At 39.8% G+C, this 17555-nt stretch overlaps 1 protein-coding gene across 1 annotated transcript in view, besides 2 other annotated features; it reads right to left on the reverse strand.

Moving 5' to 3' along the window:
* The window catches only part of TNFRSF21 (TNF receptor superfamily member 21), a 78374-nt gene that overhangs the window by 1573 nt on the left and 59246 nt on the right, over window positions 1–17555 (reverse strand). Inside the window, exon 5 of the mRNA NM_014452.5 lies at window positions 1566–1794. Coding sequence (NP_055267.1) covers window positions 1566–1794 — 229 coding nt within the window. The remainder of the gene's footprint in view (window positions 1–1565; window positions 1795–17555) is intronic.
* Window positions 9357–9486: an enhancer, noted in NCBI's record as "active region_24656". NCBI's record gives its function as "activates an Ori minimal core promoter by ATAC-STARR-seq in GM12878 lymphoblastoid cells {active_cell/tissue: GM12878}" and the evidence as "EXISTENCE:reporter gene assay evidence [ECO:0000049][PMID:35858748]".
* Window positions 9707–9936: an enhancer, noted in NCBI's record as "active region_24657". NCBI's record gives its function as "activates an Ori minimal core promoter by ATAC-STARR-seq in GM12878 lymphoblastoid cells {active_cell/tissue: GM12878}" and the evidence as "EXISTENCE:reporter gene assay evidence [ECO:0000049][PMID:35858748]".

Here is a 17555-nt window from a genome sequence, read left to right on the forward strand (position 1 = left end):
TATTATTCTCCATCCTCCATTACAGTGAGAGAGTGAGTGATCCTCTGGCACATTCGAAACAACACAAGAGTTTTTACTTGTGTTGCACGTGTAAGATAGCAAACAAGATTTGCCTGGTAGAGATCAGACAAGGTCTTGCTTGAATGGCTTGCTGAGTTATCATTAATGTGACATTTGCCTAGACTTAAGTAACTTCTAAATTATTTTAGAATTCAGAAGGTGAATGGTGAGATACTTAAAGAAACCAAAGAAACAAAAACAAAAAACTAAAAAACCTTTACTGCTTTCCCTATCTGAAATGTGTTTACTAAACTAAGATATACATAGGCCCACCCCTTTCCAAATGATCAAAAATTCCAAGACAATGTAGTCTACTTATGTGACTTTCTGATTACATTGTAATATTTTAGAACTAAACTGCTGAGAGAGTAAAAGCACATAAATAAGAAAATATGATTTCTTCTCAGGTCATACCTTACATTGGGATGAGGAACTATAACTTTTATTACTATTATAAAGCACTTTTTCTAAAATATATTATATAACATAAAATATAAACTAAAATATAAATATTTTATGTAAATGTAAAATAGATTAATATAAATATATAAAGTACACAAATTATAAATATGTAAATATAACATTTTATAAATACGTAAAATATCAAATATAACCCTTTCACTAAAATATAACTGGAATTACCCAAAACTAGAAAATTTCTTTAAAAACTGTCATAAATAGTGTATGCTAATTCCCTACCCCGATATTAAAAATTAAAAGTTGCAAATTCTTTGCCAAAACTACCAATCCATAATGTTTAAAATATTGGTATTTGCAATGTAGTTTAACAAAGTGAATTTTAGGGTATTTTTAAGTCACTAAAACCTGTAGTTTTCTTTTTTTTGGGACAAAGTTTTGCTCTTGTCACCCAGTCTGGAGTACAGTGGCACAATCTCAGCTCACTGCAGCCTCCGCGTCTCAGGTTCAAGTGATTCTTTTGCCTCAGCCTCTGAGTAGCTGGAACTACAGCGGGCTAATTTTTCTTTTTTTTTAGTAGAGATGGGGTTTCACCATGTTGGCCAGGCTCATCTCTAACTCCTGGCTTCAAGTGATCCGCCCACCTCGGCCTTCCAAAGTGCTCGGATTACAGGCGTGAGCTGCTGCGCACGGCCTAAAACCTGTACTTCTGACTCTCAAGATAAGTTCAACTTTAAATCTTTGGATACAGCAAGCTTGGTAAATAATTTTCAAAAATCTTGCCAGACTACATTTTATCAGGCCTTCCCCGAAACACACATTTGATAGCATCATGAGGATAAAGGGTGGCCGATAGCTCTCCACCGGGCAGTGCGAGCTGCAAAGATTTTGGAGGCGTGTCTTCGCCAGCCAATGGCGAGGTTACTCTCGGGCCAGCGTATCTTGAAGTTTTGGACTGGTCTTCCTGGGCAGGTAATTCAGATGACTCAACTCTCAGCTACAACTGGACTGTGGACGGGGAGGGACGAATCCCAGGGGCTCTTTGGGGGGTTTAAGTGCGTGTGTGAGGTCTGCTGCGATGCCCGTACCTTTGGTAATAAAGGAACCGTTCCTGCTCAGCGCGGAGGAGCCGCTGGATGTAGAGTCACAGCGGAGAAGGGGCTCCGACTCATCCACGAAGAAGCCCTTGTTCTTGTCCTGTGGGGAAGGCTCCACCGTCAGGAGAGCGGAATTCTCAAGTTTCGCGTTGGGGCTGGGGATGGGGCTCGGGCTAAGCGGGCTGGGGCTCATCGGGAGAGCTAGTTTGTCAGTTTCCAGCTGTAGGAGGGAAAATTTTTTTTTATTATATATAGAAAAAAAAACAGTAAAATTAAAATCCCTCCTCAGAGGCTATTTTTTTTGTTCCATTTAACATTTTATATATACATCCTCCCACTTCAGTTGACCTTAACTTATTTATATGATTGCTAGACACATACACAGACTTTTAAACCCTTCAAAAATACAGTGAGGATATGCATGAGTACTAAAAACGGGGAGGCATATGAACCAAGCTATTATCTCAGGGGAGTAGAAGGGAACATGGGTGTAAGGAGAAAGATCCCCGATTTAAAATATAATTTTGTAGAGCTGAAAGGAGTCTTAGATATAATTTAGTATTATGAGCTGAATGAATTATGCCACCTCCATGTTGAAGCCCTGACCCCCAGTACTTCAGAATGCGACTACTGTGAGAGAGGGCCTTTAAAGAGGTAATTACAGTAAAATGAGGTCTTTAGGGTTGGCTACACTCCGATATAACTGGTGTCTTTAATAAAAAGAAGCGATGAGGACACAGACGCACACAGAGGGAAGACACAGTGAAGACATGGTGATAAGGCAGCCATCTGCAAGCCAAGAGAGAGACCTCAGAAGACACCTTGGTCTTGGCCTTCTGAGGCTCCAGAATTGTGAGAAGACCAATTTCTGTTGTTTAAGCCATGCAGTCTGCGGTCCTTTGTTACTGCAGTGCTTGCTGACTCTTACACTCAGCTTCACAGGGAAGGAAACTGGGGCCTGGAGAAGTGAAGTGACTTTCTTAACTAAGGGCCAACAAGGAAGTCACAGAACTAAAACTAGACCCCAGGTTTTCTGACTCCCATTTCAAACTAGCTCAGGAAAAAAACTGCTAAAATTAAGAATGAGAACAGGAGAAAATGAGAGGTGTCAGTGGCTAGGAGGAGAGTAATGACCAAAAGGATAGAACAGAGACTGTGAAGATTGCATTCTGGAGTGGGGAGGTCAGAGAGACAATAACAAACACACAAGATGGTTTCAGATAAAGATGGTGAGCTTCACCACCACTCTGGCTGGTGGGTAGAGAATGGATTTTAGGGAGGCAAGATTCAAAGTAGGGAGAGCAGTTAGGACGCTCCTACAGTGGCTACATACAGTATGACTATGGCTTGTACTGGGGGTGTGCAGTGGAGAGAAGGGGAAGTGATAGGTGATGTGACTTCATTTTACCAGTAAAGTGACTGCGGCCCAAAGAGGGCACACAGCTACTGGCAGAAAGCCAGTGCTCAACTCAGGCCTGCTTGACATCTCTATTTGGCCCTTTCATTTGAGAAAATACATCAGAACTCTGGCAGGCACTTGTGGCCTCTCCTAGTAATTGACTTTATCTTTTTATTGGCTCTTCCGGCATGGATAAAAAAACCTGGGAGCCAGCTGGCCAGATCACACAGAGCAGGGTTCAGGGAATGATGGGCACTCTCCCCAAGCTGTTAATCACCACTCCTTAGAATCCTCATCCCTTCACTCACACACTTCAAGTAAAATGTTTTCAAGCTTTTCAACGAAGACATTGATATTTCAAAGTATTACGTGGGATAGTTATATAAGGCACAAAGCAAACACAACTGCTTCTTTTACAAATTTTAAGGCCTGAGAAATTCTTGCAACTGATTGCAGATTGTGAAGATAACTGATTACTGCACATGTCTAATGTTCCAACAGCGTTTTTCCTCTGAACCACCACCCACACCCTGCTGCTGCTTCCAGGGCAAGTTTCAGACTTGGGAAACATGCACACCTAGCAGTCCCTTTCTGACCTACAGACAAATGTTACGTATATGCTTGTAAAATGTTAATTCCATAGGCCCTGGCGCATGCCCCTCCTCCTTGAAAATGCACATGGCCATTCACGCCAACACACTTTTTTAATTCACTCAGTTAGACTAAGAACACTTGTCTACATCCTGGTTCTCAGGGACAATACCTTGGAAGACATGGTCAGTCAATATAGTACACTGTTCTTGCTTAAAAGGAAATTTCCACCCACAAATCACATGCCAATGAGCAAAAAGTCCACTCACCTGTTTCCTAAATTCATTTGAAAACTTGAAATGTTTAATTTCCCCCCCCGATTTCACCAAAAGGTCCTATTAGTAAAACTTAAGCACATGATTTCCGACATAATTGGAAAGACAGAATGCTGAACTGATGCTCTCCTGTAATTAACAATGAGTCAGGTGAATATGAAAATGCCCCTACAAATGCTATTAGCATCACAGCAGAGCTAACAAGCATCACTAAAGCCAGAGACCATTTAAAAATCATCTTTCCAGAAAATCTACTCAGTTACTAACTATAAGTATCTCTCACTTTGTGCAACCGTAGCTGGTTGCATTTTGACTTCATCTAAAGTTGTTTTCACTTTTTCCCAAAAGAAAAAAAAATGCTCATAGAAATTTCTTTCCGTGCTTTACCATAATATATACAATATCCATCAAAGCCGGTTTGCAGTACTGCTACCGTACTAGGCATTGTGTTACTTCTGCTTTCTAATCAGAACAGTGAGTCATCGGAATATGTGAAATAAATTAATTCCTTGTTTTATTAATTCTGAAAGTTTATGGTTCAGTATTCTGAGTTTATAGCCAATGAAGAACACCTACAATAAGATTTAGATACTAAAGAGAAAACAAATACTCTAAACAAGAAAGCCATATTTCCAGAGAAGAGGATCCTCTTATAAAAACTTTGAGCATAAACTTACCAAGATACTTATAAAATAAAATAATTTATTTCCTAAGGTTCTTTGAGTTTTCCAAATTCTCTGTAAAGATATATTAGGCTGGGCACGGTGACTCACACCTATTTTTTTTTGTTCCATTTAATATTTTATACATACATCCTCCCATTTCAGTTGACCATAACCAGTTGACCTATAATACTAGCACTTTGGGAGGCCAAGGTGGGTGGGTCACTTGAGGTCAGGAGTTCAAGACAAGCCTGGGCAACATGGTGAAACCCTGTCTCCACTAAAAATACAAAAATGAGCCAGGCGTGGTGGCAGGCGCCTGTAATCCCAACTACTTGGGAGTCTGAGGCAGGAGAATCGCTTGAACCAGGGAGGTGGAGGTTGCAGTGAGCCAAGATCGTGCCACTGCCCTCCAGCCTGGACGACGGAGTGAGACTCTGTCTCAAAAAAAAAGAAAGAAAAAAAGATATATTAACTTTGACAGCTAGAAAATCAATAAATGTTGTTTTTAAAAGCAGTCACTACCGATAAGTATATTTTCCTTCTGCTACCTTGAAAATGTTGTGGCTGTAGCAGCTCTTATTTATATAGGTAGCCAAGAAACAGGGTAACAGGAAGATTATCAATGTGGCTGAGCTCCTCTCTATACTTTTGTGAAATGTTTGTGGACACGGCATTCATACATGCCCCAGCTTATTTCAATAAGGCAGATATTAAGAAAACGTGGCCTGTAAAGGCAATGTATCTGTCACTTATTTGAAGCTCCTTTGGAGAAACTTGAAAACTACAGTTCTTTTTGCCTACTGCCATGACATAATCCTAACTTGGAAGACTCATGTGAGAAATGAGGTGGGGACAGTAAATAGACCAAAATGGTAGGGGGCTCCCAAAGCAGCCCAAAAGAGAACAATTCTATTTTGTGAACTTCAAGAGCATGGCATTTCTTTCAGCCAAACAAGTTCCAAATGTCCTTCTGATTAGTTTCCATGCAAACACACTTAGTCCTTCCAGATACTTATTAGTCCAAACTGATAAGGGAAGAAAGATAAATGGTTCAACTCACTCAAGGCTGAGTCACACCTAAAGCTCTGCTGCTGACAATTTTCCTTTCCGAGCACCTCTACCACTGAGTACAAGGAACCATCCAAATGGATTAGGTAAACAGACTACTGCTTTGGGAATCTGAACATCTCTGGGCTACTGAGTTTGGTAGCAGTGTTTATGAGAATAATGATTTAACTTGTATCTGGATTGTACCACAATGAACCATGACTGTCATCATTGCCTTTCCCCATTTCCAGCTGTGTCCTTGCCAACCCTACATTCCTGCACCAAGCAGACTTCTAAAAAACTGAAGTACCCACTCTGGATGCTTAACCAAATCAAAATGGGAAACTGAGGCTGGGCGCAGTGGCTTACACCTGTAATCCCAACACTTTGGGAGGCCAAATGGGCAGATCACTGTAGGTCAGGAGTTCAAGACCAGCCTGGTCAACATAGCGAAACCCTGTCTCTACTAAAACTACAAAAATTAGCCGGGCATGGTGGCACATGCCTGTAATCCCAGCTGCTCAGGAGGCTGAGGCAGGAGGATTGCTTGAACTGGGGAGGCGGAGGTTGCAGTGAGGCGAGATCACGCCCCTGCACTCCAGCCTGGGCAACAGAGCAAGACTCCATCTCAAAAAAAAAAAAAAAAAAAAAAAAAGGAAACTGAAGCCCAAAAATAATTCTCCACTTCTAATATCAAACTGAAAAATCACTTCCCTGTTGACTGACCTTTCCTGAGATGACACACTGGTGGAGGTTGCAGTATTCCCCTAGCCCCGGGGATGGCAGAGCCATGGATGGTAAAGGAAAATCCTTCCAAATTTTATTCATGACAAGGGTGGTAGATAAATGAAATAAGATTTCGAGGCAGCAAGATCTGGCAGCATTCTTGGGTAGACTCTGAGAGCAGGAATAGGCGAGAACTCCAGCCTCAACTGCCATCTGTGTGGCATGTACTTCATGTTCCCCATAGTCAGCTCCTAAAAATCAAAGTCATGAAAATCCTGGAAAAAGCATTGCAAGAAAAGAGAGAAGACATAACACTAACTAGCTGTGTGGCACTAGGAAAACCACTTCCCTCATCAGACCTGTGGTCTCACTTCTAACCTAAATAGGTTAGACCAGGTCACTTCTGTGTTCCTTTCATTCAAATTATGTCTTATTTATTGCTTGTCTTACTGTTGCTATTTCATTCTCCTCATGCCCTAATCCCCCACTCCAATTCTCTTTCCCCTTCCAAGTTACCCCCACCTGAACTACCTGCTCAACGAAAGTTTACCACAAAGTTATTTTCAATTACTACCCAATTACAATCTCCCTGTGGTTGCACAATCTGTTTTCATAAAACTAATTAATGACTTTGATGCATCAGCGACCCCCTGAAATGAAGCATTAATTGCCCAGCCTGGATGCTCTTTGCCAGCCTGCTAAAATGGTTCCATTTAACCCCTTGGCTCCTGACACTACCCAGTTCAATACCACCAGGCCCCTTTTCCCTAATATAACTAGATATGCCTGATAGTCCCCAGCAGAAAGCTCCTTACAGTAAAGTCGCTGTTTTGATTTAATTTTCCCTCCAGACCTCATTCAACACTTAGAAAGAAGGAAGAGTTCTATGTTACATTTGTGAAAATCTCTCACTTTAATAATGGTTTTTAAAAGCCCATTTGCTAAATCTAACTGAAACTTACTGCTTTTCCATATGAGGTAACAAAAAGAGACCTGAAGAAATAAGCCATTGCCAATACTGTGCTAGGTGATTCAGCAGAAAATATCTGTGATTCGTTTGCTGCTAAGGAAGTTGTATCAGCCCCATTTTACAGATGAGGAAACTGAGGCTCTAAGAGGTAATAACTTGCCCCAAGCCATAGAACCAGGATTCAAGACCAGGTCTGTCTAGTTTCAAAGTTACCCTCTTTGCTGCCATGTCACTTCCCTGTCTGGACCCCACAGCATTTAGAGAAAATTGACAAACCCTGTAAACTGATTACAAGCGATCACATGACCACAGGGCATTGCCCGAGCCCCTCCGCTAGAGTGAAGTGGGTAGAGGTTGAGATCTGCAAGTACCTGGGACTCAATGGCAGACTTACACTCCAGCTGGATGACTGCGCTAAGATAAATATGAGAGATTCTGTGAATACCAGATACCTCAACTGTAGCCAATAACTTTGTTTTCTATTGAAAATATTTCAGATCCCAACAGACAAGTGGCTGGTTAAAAAAACAAACAAACAAATTCAATTTCTACTAAAGGTTTATCTCAAAGGAATTCTAGTCGCGAATAAATATAAAATTACAACTATTTAAGAATTATGATATTATCTCAAGCCTGTTTCCCCTGCTCTCCCAGCTGCCCACATAATCAAAATCAAATTAGATTTCAAGACCTTCTATAGGCCTATACAGGCATATAAGATGGGCTCTGGGAGGAAAAAAAGGCATATTTTCTTTGCCAGAAAAGTATTTCTTGATATCTGAATCTATGTGGTCTTTAGAGAAGAGGAATTCAGATAATAAGAAATGCTTTCTTATTCAAATCTATGTGGTTCCAGGATTTCAGATATAAATAAGGGTTCATATAATGAGGTTACCAGCCTCATCACAAAACAATTTATCTGAATCTATTCAATTCCTAAGTTCGGACACTGTAAAATACTTGTATATAATGATTTCTCCCTTAAAAAATAAAAACAAATACATCACCCTAAAAAAAAAGTTTCAGATGATGAGAGACAATGATTTTAAAATTATTCTTCTGAGTGTGAATTCTTGTTCAATTCAATCCAGAGTAAGGGGTCTTGGCAAGCAGAACCCAAATGTACCCAATTTTTTTTTTGCAAACAAAAATCTTAAGAGGCAAATGGAAAAATGCTGATTTCTAAATGCTTGAAAGAAGGATTATCAGTTATAAGAAATTTAGAGAAAGTCTTCGAAATGGGAATATGGACTGGAAACGTATACATACATAGATAAAGCAAATATGCCAAAATGTGAATAACAATTGAATCTAGATGGTAGATTTATTATTTGTTGTAATGTGCTTCCAAATTTTCTTTGCTTCGTAAGTCTTCTCTTAAAACATTATTTTAAAAAATTAAAGAGAAGGGCCAAGAGTCAAGTAACTTTAAGAGAAAAATTCCCCAAACTTTTCCTGGGCTTCTAATTGTTGAGTTAAAACCTCTTGTTTTCTTTCCTTCTTTCTTCTTCTCCTGCACAGCCCAGACTTTAGTACATGAAGCAAGGAGGTGCTTCCATTGCATAAGTAGGGAACAGCACCAACACTTAAATCTAAATTGTCAATTGCCAAGTGGACAGCGAGGGCCATCTGCTGTCTAGAGCTCCCTGGGATCACTGGATGTCATGGGATGGAAGAAAGAACAGGAGCACAACACCAAGATGTTCTGCTCAGCTTCCTTGGGAACCCCCAAGCCAGACCACAGAGATGGCATAGGTGAGTGAACCTTAAGCTGGGAGCCAATGCAGAGCCTGCAGAACAAACTCACCCACCATCAGGGGAATCTCAGGATTAACCTGGCCAAAAAAATGCCAAAACCACTGGGGAATTATTTTAAAAAACACTCCCACTCACCCCAGATCTGTTCAAGCACAGAATAATGAAAAGGTTTTGTTTCAACTGCAACCTTACTTAAGGCCTATGAAGTTAGACTAGGTTAGCTGGTCACGGTGGGTTTCTCGCTTAAATACCCCAAACTCAAATCAAGGTAGTTGGCTATAATTTTCTGTATATACCTCGTCTTAGAATTCTCATCATTTCTAAGAGTTAATTTCAAAATTGAGCCCCAAAGTCTATAAATCCACCCCCATTTAAGTCAAAGTGTCAATAGCCAATCCTTGCCCTAAGCAAGAGAGCTGTGCCTTTCCTGTATGTACAGGAGAAAAGCCACAACAAATAGTGCTGCACAAAGCTGCCAAAGCTGGTAAGAACCAGCTGGCTCCGGAGGGAGGGAAAAGGGGGGGCAGCCCCGCCCCGCTACCGGCACGGGTGTCTGCAGGCTGTCCAGGCTGCTGACATCAACGGTAGTGGTGTTGCAGCCCTGAGCTGACTCACTGATTAGCTTTCTCAAAAAGAGGAAGTGAGGACAGTGAATAAGTGGGTTCTCTTGGTTCAGAGCTGGAGCCCACTCACGTTTGAAAATATTGCCAAGACTTTTAAGAGCTCAGCACCATCGGAACATGAGGAGATCATGCTCCATTGGAAATTCCTTAGGTTTCCCTAAACTTCTATTGGAAAATCTTTCCCACAAAAAAGCCTTTCGATAATTCTATCCATGAGAAAAAGTTTCGCAAACCTTTTTAAAGCTTGCCATAAGACACTGTGGAGGATGGAAAGTAATTTCGTAGGAAACTCAAGACCTTGAAGTAAGAAGGCTTAAGTTCATCTTTATGACTCGGGCTTTTTGAACTCATCAAATCTGATTAAATTAGCATTGCATAATAAGTCCATTAATTAGATTCATGCCATTAGAATTACAATGCATATGGTCTACAAGTCTAAGTTAACCTTTGACCTTAACCTCTGACTTCCAAGTCTCGGCAACTCAGTTTCCCTCCGTGGTGGTAACTACTGTTACCAAGTCACAATATACTCTTCCAGAGATAGAGACAGTCTATACTTATACCAATAAATAAGTATATATGTTCTCCACCCCCCTTATTTTTTAAAACAATTTTTAACATCTATGTATATACTGTGTGTGTGTGTATATATATGTATATATTTTTGCAATATGGTGGCACAATGTACATACTGTTGTTTTTTTGGTTTTGTTTTTTTCGTGTCTCCCAGGCTGGAGTGCAGTGGTGCAATCTCGGCTCACTGCAGCCTCCATATCCTGTATTCAATTGATTTTCGTGCCTTAGCCTCCTGACTAGCTGGGATTACAGGCATGCACCACCAGGCCCAGATGATTTTTGTAGTTTTAGTAGAGATGGGGTTTCACCATGTTGGCCAGGCTGTTCTCAAACTCCTAACTTCAAGTGATCTGCCCACCTTGGCCTCCCAAAGTGCTGAGATTATAGGTGTGAGCCACTGTGCCCCATCCTACATACTATTCTTCACCTGGCCTTTTTTCGTTTAACCCTTCTTGAGGTTAGCACATGAAGAGCTGACTCACTTCTTCTGACAAGTGCATGCTGTTCCATTGTACAGATGTTCAATAACTTAGATAACCAGTCCTCTAGTGAAGGGCATTTGTAGATCTCCTCACTCTTTTGCTATTACACATGACACTACAATGAATATATGTGTACTTGCATCATTCTGAATGCATGTGAACATGTGTAAGATATCTTCCTAGATGTGGAATTATAGGTCTCCATGCCAGCCTGAGAGGTTAAAAATCTGCATGTTTAAAAAGTCTTCAGGCTGGGCGCGGTGGCTCACACCTGTAATCCCAGCACTTCGGGAGGCCGAGGCGGGCGGATCACAAGGTCAGGAGATAGAGACCATCCTGGCTAACACGGTGAAACCCCATCTCTACTAAAAAATACAAAAAAAATTAGCCAGGCGTGGTGGCGGGGACCTGTATTCCCAGCTACTCGGGAGGCAGAGGCAGGAGAATGGCGTGAACCCGGGAGGGGGAGCTTGCAGTGACCCGAGATGGCGCCACTGCACGCCAGCCTGGGCGACACAGCAAGACTCCGTCTCAAAAAAAAAAAAAAAAAAAAGGCTTCAGTATTTCCTTCTCTGTGAACTGTCTTGTTCACAAGACTGCACATTTTTTTTCTTAATTTGTAAAAACTCCTTATTTTTCAAGAAACTGAACCCTATGTTTCAAACAATTTCAACCTGTGATTATTTTGTCTTTTGATTTGTATACGGTGTTTTCTGGCTTGTGTATTTATTGTTAAGTAGTTGCATTGTTCTTGTACGGCTTCTGTGCTTTATGTTATTCTCTACTGTTGTGATTATAAAAACAAAACATTTCCCCCAAGTTTTTTTTCTAGTACTTTTTTGGTGATAAGTCATTTTAGTTGTTGGGCATTTAATTTCAGCCTGTCCTGTGAAAGTCCAACTGTAGATCGATCAAAGTTTCCTCTGTGGCAATTGTTTATTAAAAAACCAGGAATGACATTAGTCTCTCCCAAGGAAATGGTGAAAAATAAGTGATGAAAACCTCGAAATTAACTGATATAAAATAAAACCTACTGCTGACCATGATGCAATTCCTCATCAGCAAGTGTACCTGTTATTGACACTTGGGTTATAACAGAATAAGGGACACTTTCACAAACACAGAGTGGAGAAGCTAGGCCAAAGCTGGAAGCTATTCAACTTTATCCAAATCGGTGTTTTGCCTTTAAAAAGAAAAAGTGAAAATGTGCTCTCCTGCACTGGTAATTGATGGAGAAAATAAGCTTCTTTTCACAGTATTGATTCTGATTTCCTCCCAATGCACTTTTTGAGAAAGCCAGGAAGGGTGTAGATTAAAGGGGTGGGAAATGTCATCCACTAACAGACCCAGCCTTTTCTGAATGGTGAGACACTCTGTCTCAGAAAAAAATTAAAGCCCACTTCCATCCCTCTGTATAGCAGCTTCACAGAATATATTCTCAAGTCTGGCTCACATATCTATCCCTCCTATAAAACTGTCAGCATCCTAAGGGATGATTCTGCTTTGTGTTTTGTTTTGTTTCATTTAGTATCTCAGTGCCTGGTACAGGGCTCAATACATAATGGGTGCTCTGATAATCTATTAAATAAATTGTCTGTGTTGAATTATCTCAACCTTAAAGGCAATACTAAGAAGAAGTGTGTGTGTGTGTGTGTGTGTGTGTGTGTTTGTGTGTGTGTGTGTGTGTGTTGGGCAGGGAGTGTATATTAATATAAAGACCCCAAGAATCTGTTTCCTAGACTTTTCTCCTTACGATCTGCATACAGCAAGCTCAACTACTATATTTATTAAAATTCTATGATGCATATTTTTTTCACATTTTAACATCTCTGAAATAGAGGTGTCTCTTACAATTATAATTAACAGTATTTTCTTTCTCAGTAATACATAATGACAATGGTATATCTTACAATTGACATGGGATTCAATGAAATATAGTAATATATCTGTATTAGTCAGTTTTCATACTGCTATAAAGAAATACCTGAAGTTGGATAATTTATAAAGAAATGAGGTTTCATATGCTCACGGTTCTGCAAGCTGTATAGGAAGCATGACTGGGGAGGCTTCAGGAAACTTATAATCATGGCAGAAGGCAAAGGGGAAGCAGGCATGTCTTACATGGTCAGAGCAGTGGTGATAGGGGGAGGTGCCACATGCTTTCACACAATCAGATCTCGTGAGAACTCTATTGCAAGAACAGTGCCAAAGCAGGAAATCTGCCCACATGATCCAGTCACCTCCCACCAGGCCCCACCTCCAACATTGGGAATTACAATTCAACATGAGGTTTGGGCAGGGACACAGACCCAAACCATATCACTATCTTAATGAGAATATACCCACCTATACTTCTCAGGACCATGAAGCTTGCTAAATAAACCAGCTATAGAGCACCCAGACAGTGTTTGGGACACAACAGATATTTAGCAAATGCTGATTTCAACTTAATGTGCATTTACTGAAAACATAATGCATTTGCTGTCAAGTCAAAAAAAGGACAATGTAGAATTCAAATTCCAACACAGAAAATAGTTGCTAAGATTTACTGAGCCCCCTGCTCTATGTCAAGTGCAGGACTGGGCATTTACACTCACCTCTATTTCTCAGCAAGATCTTTACAAAGCACTTACAAAGCTTGGAGACTGTATAGGACTTGCCCAAGGTCACATAGTGAGTGGCAAAAGCAAAATTCAAACCCAATTCAGAGAGACAAAGTCAAATTCTTGAATTTGTCAGTTCCTTCTAGTAGTTCCTGGAGATTCAAAGTTCAATATCTAGCACGTGACATGAACTGGGATATTAAAACCTTATTTCTATACCTTAAATATTACAGAACAGTTAAGGGTTTCTAAAAAGCTTGCTACTGAGCAAAACAAGGATGTAAGTAAAACAGACGTTCTTTGCAGAGTCAAAGATTTGAGAAGCCCTTAATATGAAAAAGCAGGTGGGGCTTCCTAGGCAGAAACCAAATGTGAAAGTTTCAGGAAAGAAGACCAAAATATAGTCTTGAAAAAAAACTAGTCTGATTTTTTTAAGTGACTTTCAAATGGACAAATATATATCTGCTCTAGCTTTCTATGTATTTTTTTGGCAGGTTGAGTACTTCTTCACCCTGATGCTTATAATTCCTCATGCACACTTCTATTATAACATTTGCTTATCCCACTGAATTATAATTATTTGCACACGTGTCTCCATCACCACAAGTGAGTTATTGAAAGGCATTGACCACTTTTCTTCTTTATCCAGTACCAGGCTCACAGCTGGTGTTTGACAAAAGGTTGTCAACTAACTGAATGAAACTTTGGACTATGATAATAAATAGAACAGCCTGAAATGTCATTAAAAATCTAAAGCCTATTTATAAACATTGCTCCTTTGTGCGCAATGACAACTTTAAACACAAGCATCACTAAATGTTCCTGGTTCTATGTGTGTCAGCAATCCCTTTATAATGTCCTCTTCTCCTCACCACCCCAGAAGTTCCCCAGAGCCTGCAGTCACACCCCATGAATTAAGTAACTTGACCTTAAATAACCCTCCATGCTGCAGTAACACAGCAGAGGGCAGCTGCTAGATACATGCAAGTTTAGCTGTTACCTTAGGTCCTCAGGTCTTAGGACAAGATCCCTAATTTCTAAGAGATGACAAATTGGAAAATTAATGACAAAGACTAATTTGAATAGCCAAAAAGTCAACAGTTAATGTACAGCTGGTATTTGCTTCAACTCGTCCTCACTGTATTAAATTTCTGAAAATAGCTGGTCTCAGTCAGACCCGTAGATAAGGACAGCTGCATCCTGCAGCTGGTAAGCAAAAAATCAGTAACTGTAGTTCCCTCTGCAGCAGAGGCAGGAGTGCTGCTCTCACCAAAATAGAAGGCCCAGTACTTCTCTAGCTGTTGGGATTCTCTGAGTTGATTACACAGAGCAAAGCCATCCAGGATCCAACACAGAGTCTACTATAGTAGAGAGAGAGAGAGTGCCTAAGTGCACAAATGCTCTGTTCCTGAGACATAGGTCCCCTATGTGGTTCTGGAAAGGACTAAAATATCCTAACAAAGAATAATTAATTCTATTATATAGAAATCAACAACAACCACCACAAAACATTGGCGGTGGGTCCACTGGTTGTGAAATTATAGTGTAGTTTTAATCTGCTTAATCTTATGGAAGGAGAGATAAGAAGTAGAGCATTGATTCTCCACTCCGCTTCCTGGTTAACATCAGTCCTTTACATTTGTGAATCTCTGATCAAAGCAGACAGCTAAAGTAACAATTTATATTATTTTAAATTGTTGTGGTTGTTTTTAATACCATCATTTTTTAAGTATCTATAAAATTTCTTTTTCCACCCCTTTCTCTCATGAAGCAATGAAGGGATGCTGAAACTCTAACCACAGATATAATACTTCTGAACCTAGCTGCAAAGCATCACTTTAATATCTCACTCTAGTATGGCCCCCAGTAATTTGATTATCAAAATTAATTTTGATAACCACTCAGAGTGTGAAGGGCAGGTTCTGTAATTCCCATTTTAAATGGAAAAATCTCAGAGTTAGAGAAATTGTTTGCCCAGGGTTTCCTAAGGAGAAGAAACAGACTCCTTTCCTCCCACCCTAGCCAAGGCGCAGGGAAAGAGTGCACTGGTTAAGTCTCTCTGCACATACAAAGGCTCTAAAATAAAAGGGGGGAGTGAAAAAAAAACATAGAAAACCAAATCATAAGGAAAACCAGAAATTCACTTGCTCAATTTTGTTTCTCTGACAGCTATTGAGGAAGCAGACCATTATCTCCCTTGCTAGAGAAAACATTCCAGCCAGCCTAGGAACATGTGCTCAGGCAGTAAGCAACACATAGCTACAGTTAGCTGGGATTTCCAGCTCTGGGGCACTGAACCCAGATAGCACTTCCTGCTCGGCCACCTGCTTTCAGCAGTCCTGGAATTGGGTGAACATCCCCACCCAACACTAAGTGACCCTCAGTATTCAGCATCTAAAAGACCCATTATGTGTATGAGTTTTAGCTAGTTAGGAACATTCTTCCATCTCTCTTGCCTCCAGAGCCTGGAAATAATTGCAACTATTAATAGTCAACATCTGACAAATGCTTACAGTGGGTCACACTCACCTCATTCTCAGAGTAACCCATAGGACAGGCACGCATGTTGTTCCTATTGTCTCATGAAGAAACTGAGGCAGAGAGGCCAAGTAATTTACTCAGGGTCCCTAAAATGACTATGTTGCCAGGACAGGGATTTAACCCGGCACACGTCTCCATACTGATGTTCTAATCGGAGCCTTACTGGCTGGTTAGATGGCGATCCAGCACATTCCTCCTCCCAACCTCTTGGATTTACTCCTTCAGATTATATAAGTATGTGTAAACTTCTTCCTTCCATCCAACTGTAAGCTTCCTTGATGGCATTGACTTTGTCTTACTCATCTTTGCATTGCCCAAAGTGCCTGTTATAATACTGTGCACAAAATGTGTTATGTCATATAGATTTAAAAATAAAATCACATCCTCTCGTTTGCTGGTTAGCAGGGGAAACTTAAATCCAGGCATTAAAGGACTAAAGGAAAATAACTGGCAAGCTAGAATTTTATTTCCAGCTATCCTTCAAAAACTAAGGTGAAATAATGCAATTTATTTATTTATAAATAGGCACTTTTCAGACCAAGAAAAACAGAGTTTACTGCTGGAAACCTACACATAGAAGTATTCTTTAGGCAAAAGAAAAATTTTCTCAGGTAGAAGTTGAAGCTCCAGGAGGAAGGTATTAAGAATGTTAAGAATGGAAAAGATCAATATGCAGATAAATCTGTGTGACTCCTGACTGTGTAAAACTGTAATAACTCTGCCTTTTAGCAGTATTAAAAGTGTAACATTAAAATTCATGAAAACAAAAGCGAAGTATAAGAGGAGGATAAATAGGATTAAAGTCTTCTAAGGTTGTAGTATCTGTAAAATGGTAAAAAGTACACATTTATTGCCTATATCTCATAATTAAGCATGTGTGTTGTAATCCCTTGGGTATCCCTTAAAAGTGAAGTAAAAAATGTGAAATTAACAAGCTAACAGATGAGGAAAAATGGAATAAGAAAAAAATACTTGATTATTCCAAGAGAAAGCAAGAAAAGATGGAGAGAGAAAAAAATAAAAAAAGACGAGAGGACAAATTGAAAACAAAGATGTGGTAGATTTAAACCCAAATATTTGAGTAATTACATTTTAAAAATTACATTTAAAAAGCAATTATATAATTACATAAAAATGTAAACACACTGAAATTCTCTAATTATCAAAAGCTATCAGACTAGATTTAAGAAAAAAATCTGAAATATATGCTTCTTATAAGAGACATTTTTTAAATAAAGACAGAGAAAAAAATCAAAGTAAAAGGATGGGAAAAGAGATAACATACAAACTGGAATGCTGTATTAGGGCAGTGTTTTGTTTTTTAATAGCTTTGGTAAAATTGCAATAACTTACAACTATTATCCCACTGTTTTGCTGCTTATTCCAAATGCTCATGTCCCAGAAGGGAAGAATAGCTATGATTCTGGAAGGCTGGGTTCAGTTTAGATATTGAACTTGAAAGAAGAGAGTGCTGAAAAATACAGCTCATACCTCAGATAAAGAAAGAGTCAGACTCTGAATGGGTTTAATTTAAAAATGGCTAATAGGCCACCATGGTTAATAATGAACCGGCTGTTCTTGACAGAGGCAACAAAAAGCCACACCAGGGCTAATCCTTTTAGTGGAACATAACATAGGCACTTTCAGGCTTATGAAGAGAAAAAACATTGACCATTGAAAAAAAATAGTCATTTTTACCCATTAAGAGTCCAATAACTCCTGGGG

Source organism: Homo sapiens, chromosome 6 (genome assembly GCF_000001405.40).
Source record: "Homo sapiens chromosome 6, GRCh38.p14 Primary Assembly".
NCBI classification, from domain to species: Eukaryota; Metazoa; Chordata; class Mammalia; order Primates; family Hominidae; genus Homo; species Homo sapiens.